The sequence below is a fragment of the Homo sapiens genome, chromosome 6, assembly GCF_000001405.40.
Source record: "Homo sapiens chromosome 6, GRCh38.p14 Primary Assembly".
Taxonomy (NCBI): domain Eukaryota; kingdom Metazoa; phylum Chordata; class Mammalia; order Primates; family Hominidae; genus Homo; species Homo sapiens.
In genome coordinates this window covers 153,713,248-153,720,212 of record NC_000006.12, presented here as the reverse complement: position 1 = coordinate 153,720,212, position 6,965 = coordinate 153,713,248, and positions in this window count along the sequence as shown.

The window sequence follows — 6,965 nt, the reverse complement described above, 5'->3', positions numbered from 1 at the left end:
TTAAATATGTCAAAAATAGTGCAAATATGAGATCGGGCTAAGGTAATTAAAATGTTTTAAAATCCTTATGTTGTCTGAGAAGTAATAAAAGTACTAATCTGTAATAGGTGCTAATAAATCAAGATTTTATGTTGTAATCTTTAGAGCAACCACTAAAGAATAGTAAAGGAATGTACAAATGACAAGAAAATAAAGCCGAAGATTGAAAAATATTATTTGATTATTTCAAAAGAAACTAGACAAGAGAGAAAAGACAATGTAAAACAAATAGGAAAAATAAAAGGCAAATGGTAATACAGGAGATACAGACTCAAATATTTCAATAATTCCATTAAATATTAAGGAGTAAATGCTCCAAGTAAAAGTGTAAAACTCACAGACCCATTGAACAAAACAAAGCCAATTATGTACAGCTTATGTGAGACATACCTTAAAGTAATAGAAGAGAAAAATGAGAATAAAGAGACTACAATAAAGATACACCAAGAAAACATCGTCTTATAGCAAGCAAACACTATCTCGCCTCATCCATTACCCGTCTCCCCAAATGGTGTTATTATATAATTTCAGATAAAATTGACTTTAAATCCAAAAGCCTTATTAAAAATGTACATGCCCTAGTAGTATACACCAGCAACATGTGAACTGTGCTCCATCTCCTGTTTTTATAAATAAATTTTTATTACAACACAGGCACACCAATTTATTTTTATATATTATACATGGTTGTGTTTATGCTAGATGGCAGAGTTAAGTAGTCGCAACAAAAACTATATGTACCACAAAGCATACAATTGTTATTATCCAGTCCTTTACAGAAAAATGTATGTTCAAAATACATATATTATAAAAGTAAAGAACTAGACAAAAAATAGATAAGCCCACAAACATTTTGTTAGACTTTTAATGTATCACTTTCATAAAAATTAAAGAATCACTACGGATAAGGAAGATTTGAACAAGCAAACAATGAAACAACTAATTTCTATATTAAGAACACAACACTCAAAACCTAGAGTTTTTTTTCAGGTAGATGTAAATGGAATTTAGCAAATGTTAAAGGGTTGAAATAATACTGCACATATTCTAACCACAATGAAGTCAGGTAACAAAAATAATTGTAAAATCTTCAAATGTTTAAAAATTAAACAATATTCCATGCATCAATGAAGTCACAAGTGAAATAGTAAAATCATTTGTAATAAATAATAATGAAATTATTGCAAGTTATTACATATCACAATTGGTTGAATTAATCTCAAACCATAGAAATTTATAATGGTAAATGCATACATTAGAAAAGGATGAAAGAAAATCAGCCATATGAGCATCCATCTCAGGGAGTTAGAAAAATAATTGTAAGTTAAATGCAAAGAAGTAGATGGAAGGAAATAATAAGAGACTATGTTAGTAAAATGTAACACAGATAGAGAAAATTAATAGTCACTTATAAATGGGAAGGATACTTCAAAGACCCCACGGATGTTGATGAGACCACAAAGAGCTGATAGAATTTTATGACAAAAAAATTGTAACTTTATTTGAAGTGGAGGCATTTGCAGAAAAATACAACTGACCAAAATCGACACAGGAAAAAATAGATCAGATCTATGAAAGGCAATGCTTCCATTAAAGACATTGAATCTGCGTTTAACATTTTTTTCTCAAGAAATCACTAGACAGGATGGATGGCTTCAAGTCAGTGGCCTGACTTTCATGTGCACATTTTCAGAGAGCCTGATATATGCTTAGAATACTGTTGGAAGTTAATTTTTAAAATAGAGATGCTTTGTGTTTTTGCAATACGGTAGGGTACTTTTGTTGGGTGACTAATCTATTGAATGTATTTAGTATCCATCACATATAAACACCCTCAGTAAGGCGAAATTTTGATGTGTTGCTTTTCTAGAATGAAGAACACCTTTTTTATTAATGTAAATCACAAAGGGAGAAAAAAATTACCGAATTATGGATGTTGTTGAAATTTGAATACAAATAAAACTATATTGTGTATTTTATTTCATTTTCTTTTTCTTATTTATTAAAAGTAATGGCGAAAACTGCAATTACTTTTGCACCAACCTAATATTATAGGCTAGGTAAAGCCAAATTATAAGAATTTTATTCTTTTTTGTTTGCACTTTTCCTTTTCTGGCAAATGATATGAATTAAAGACATTTAATGATCTTAAAATTCATATGTGATTAAATAAATATTGTTTTATGACTGGTCTTTAACAAATGACATTTAGTGATGCTGGCTGCCTCATCAAATAACTTATCTGCTGTGTAACCATAGCATTAGATTATAGCACTGGAAATATTTACAGGTGTCAGAAGATCCTCTTTCTTCATACATAAGGCAGAACACCAAAGCAATAATATGTTTTTATTATAGCTTTTCCTCTCATTAAATCGCTTGATTGTCATTTTTCTTTATTTGAAAATATTGATTATTCAAAAAGGTGCTTCAAATTTACCAAGCATTCAGTGACTGAAGTGGGAGAGTGGTCATGAGTATAGTTTGGAAGAACCACATTCTGGAGGGACATTTCTGAAATTTGCTAGGACTCAATAAACATTTTATTATATGGAGAAATGTCTATTTTCTCTTATAACCTAAAACAGAGCCAGCCTTAAACATAGGCAGAATCAATAATTATTTCTACTGTACAGATGAAATAATTTAAAGGAATTGCCTGAAACTTCAGTTTTGATCACCCACCCATAATTTTCTCTCACAATATTCTCATTTACTCATCCAGGATCTGAATACCAAATGATTTGCATTTAAAGAATTAGTAAAGTAGAATCATGGTGTTAGATAAGGTTAAGCCATGACAAATATAGAAATAGAATCGTGATTGGCTACCAAGAATCATTTTAAAAATACATGAGCACATCTTTAGACACAGAAAATAGCCCACTGGGGGAGGAGATAAAAAAGCAAATCAAATGTACCTGAATGATCACAGTGTTAATTCTGTCGAGAAGGATAAGGTCCCATAGCTGGCATTGTTGGCACCACGTTTAGATCTTGAAGCACCAGCTCCATGCACCATCCCTCAGGGTCTAAATCCTTGGCTGTAATGGCTTCCATCTGTCACCTTCAGAGAAAGACCTTTTACAGTTGAAGGGACTGGATGTTCAGCATGTTCACTGAGGATAATATTAATTTCTTTAAAACAAATATCTGAGAAATCTGTTAAATCCAAGTGAAAGACAGTTTGAAGAGAGTAACATTTTAAGAATTCTTCCCATTAATAGTAGAAGAATGAAAAACAGTAAAGAGCACAAATTTTTATTTACTCACAACACTGAATAATTAATGTAAACTAATTGAATCTCTTCCTTTAGACATTTTTCCTCTTAAGTAACTTTTCAAGGCCTTGCCATGAAGAGCCTTAAGTTGTATTGTCAAAATAAATGCACGTATTTTGGGAAATAGTTTGAAGTAAGTCATAAGCATTCCCCACTGTACAAACAACTTCTCTTAAGGTAAAGTTCATTTTCTATTTAGGTCACTAGCTTTTACATAAAGCCAACCCTGGTTCTGTGTAACTTACATTTCACCTATAGTCATTCCCACAAAGGTTGCGGATTTATTTAAATAGGTACATTGAGACTGTGTGTGTGTGTTTTTTTTTAATGTTCTGATACTTTGGGATGAAGTTAAATCTTAAATCTTATTAGTTGAATTGTTATAAGGACCCTGATGTCTGATAACAAGATTTGACTTTTAGGTAGCACTGTTTTGGTTCAGTCTTTTCAAATCTATTTTTGTTTGTTTAAAAACAGTACAACTTTTAGAAAACAAAGCATAAAAAAAAAGCCCATCAGTGTTATGGGCAATATGTAAATAAGTAAATATAATACTTTATCCTTTATTTTTCAGGTAAAAGGTCGTGCTGTTATAAGTGTAGTTTGTTTGCATAAATAATACTTCTGAATTAAATTATTTAATATTTGACTGATTTCAATAACTGTGAAAAATAAAAAAAGGTGTTGCATTGCTTGTGAAAAAAAATAGAATATTGGAACCACTGCTAGAATCCAGTGATACTATAGAAAATTTTATTCTTGATAAGGGTTGGGAGATTTTCAACAAGACAGTGAAGTGGTGTCAAAGTAAAAGTGATTTAAAGCATGGGAGGAGCAGAGAACAGATCTTTGTGATCCAGTGTAGTTGGAGGTGGGGACAGGGGTGTAGGGACTGGAATGTATGGGAGGGAGTGGGTAGCTGGGAACAGGTAGAAGGTAGACATGCAATGATGGTGCCTGGAAATGCAGAAAGATGACGTACAAGTTTCCAATAAGATCTTATCCTAGAGTTTTTTGTTTTTTTGTTAAAACTAGACTTGACTTCCTCCCCTCCCAAAGTATGGCTACTTACCCTTAAATGGAATTCCCATAGTAATTTTGGGTAGGGGTGGCTCATTTTTAAACTCACAGTATGGGAATTAAGACTACCTACCCAGGATATGTGCCTTCTGCATATATAGCCAGTAACAAATCAAAATATATGTTTTGGAAGTGCCTGTTTCTGGCTTCTGGTTGGAGACTTTACTTCCCAGCCTGTCAGACCAGTAAGCTGCAAAAACAAATAGATGAATAAATAAATAAATAAGAGAGAGAAACAAACAAAAAAAGAGTTTTATTTTTATTCAAACTTCAACAATATCCATAATTTGGTAAATTTCTTATTCTCACTTTGTGATTTACATTAATAAAAAAGATGTTCTTTATTCTATAAAAACAACACATCAAAATTTGGCCTTACTGAGAGTGTATGTAATTGTGATGGTATCTGTGATGGATACTAAATACATTCAAGAGGTTAGTCACTCAACAAAAGTACCCATTAGTACTGAAAAAACACACAACATCTCTAATTTTAAAAATTACCTTCCAATAGTATTCTAAAGATGTATCAGGCCTCTCAGAAAATGTGCACATGAAAGTCAGGCCACAAAAGGAGATTGAAATGAAATGTAAAGAAATGGAATTAAGGAGAATCAACCTTTCTTTCTCTCGTCTTCCCACTTCAAACATCTGTGAACAGACTGTACTTTACTTTGTGAATAATAATCGCTGATCCTTTAGTACTTAACCACTTCCTGGTAGAAGAGTCCCTAATTTTGGACAAATCATGATGAATGCTGCTTTTTTTTTTCCATGAAATTGTCAAGCTTTCATTCATAAGATTTTATTTATTTCATTTTAAAACAGATTAGAAAAGTAACAAATGATAAAAAATTATCATCTTCTATTCAAATTCCTTCATGACAGGTTCTGGTACTTTGAACATTCACTACAAGAAATTAATGAGTGTGGTAGGTTTTTAATCTTTCATCCCAGAAAATCCATTGAGTTGTATGGCACAGCAAGAGTTTCCAAGTGACTGAAAATGTCAACGTAGCCTATATCTGTATTGCTAACTCTATAAAACCTATAGAATGTATTTAGTATCTACTACATATACCATCACATACATACACCCTCAGTAAGGCCAGGCTTTGATGTATTGCTTTTCTAAAATGAAGAACATCTTTTTATTAATGTAAATCACAAAGGGAGAATTAAAAAATTTACCAAATTATGGATGTTATTGATGTTTGAGTAAAAATAAAACTCTAGATTATGTAACGTGATATAGAGGAAAGAGCTCTTAACTTAGTGGGATAAAATCAGAATGAAAGATTAAATTCTCCCATTCATTGGCTCTGGACAATCTTCTTAAACTTTCAAGCCTCTTTTCTTATCAGTAAAATGTGTTTTTTCTTATCTAGGAAAAAGATTGCTTATTTTACCTAATGCTGTGATCTGAATGTGTTGTTCTAAATCTAATCCCTAATGTGATGATAGTATAAAGTGGGACCATTGGGAGGTGACTAGATCATGAGGGCAGAGCCCTGTTGAACAGGATTAGTGTCCTTATAAAAGAGGCCCTAGAGAGCTGCCTTGTCCTTTCCCCCATGTGAGGGCACAGTGCAAATGCATTGTTCTAAGAACCAGGAAGTGGGCTCTCACCAGACAATGAATCTTCTGGTGCCTTTATCTTGGACTTCTCAGCCACCAGAACTGTGAGAAGCAAATTTCCATTGTTTATAAGCCACTCATTTTATGATATTTCGTTGTAGCAGTACAAATGGAATAAGACATTCAACTGGCAGATTTCACATAAAAATAAGTTGAGGTAATGAATAGAAAAAGACTATATAAACTTTCACTGTTTTCCACCAATAAATGATCATTACTATACTCTGAAAAGAGGAGAGGATTTCATGTTTTTTGAAATAAGAGAAAAATAATTTGTTTCCATTGTCATGTATCTATTACCATATGTATCTTCATCTTGTTGAGATTGGTAACTGCATTTTTAACTTCATATCTTTTGTAAGTAGAAAAAAATATTGTGCTCTGAGAAGTTTGATGATCTGCCCAGGGTTGCTAGACTCCCAATTCAGAGTTCTTGCAAGACTCAGAGCTGTGATGAGCATTCTCCATCCAAAACGCCAAGGCATTTTCCTTTTTGTTGTTTCACAAAAACAGGAACTAGAAATTCAGAGTGAAGGTTGCTGCAAAAGAAAACTGCAAACTCATAATTTTAGTAATACAGATAACCATTTACATTCTTTATATAAAATAGATAAAGTAATTTTAAAATATCAGCTTCTGAACATTATATCTCCTCCTTTGCCCAGGAATAAGTGTCTTAACAACCCCATTACATGGGCCACCTATTTGAATATATCACCAGGATTGTACCTAGAGTATAAAGTATATAGAGTAGTTCTTTCTGTCTGAAAAACTATTTCCTTTGACTTTAACTTAGTTTTTGTATTCTGTGGGGCTCTGGCAACTCAAAAGCAAATATAAAAGTAACCTTCTGGCCAGGTGCGGTGGCTCATGCCTGTCATACAGCACTTTGGGAGGCCAAGGTGGGCAGATGATGAGGTCAGAAGA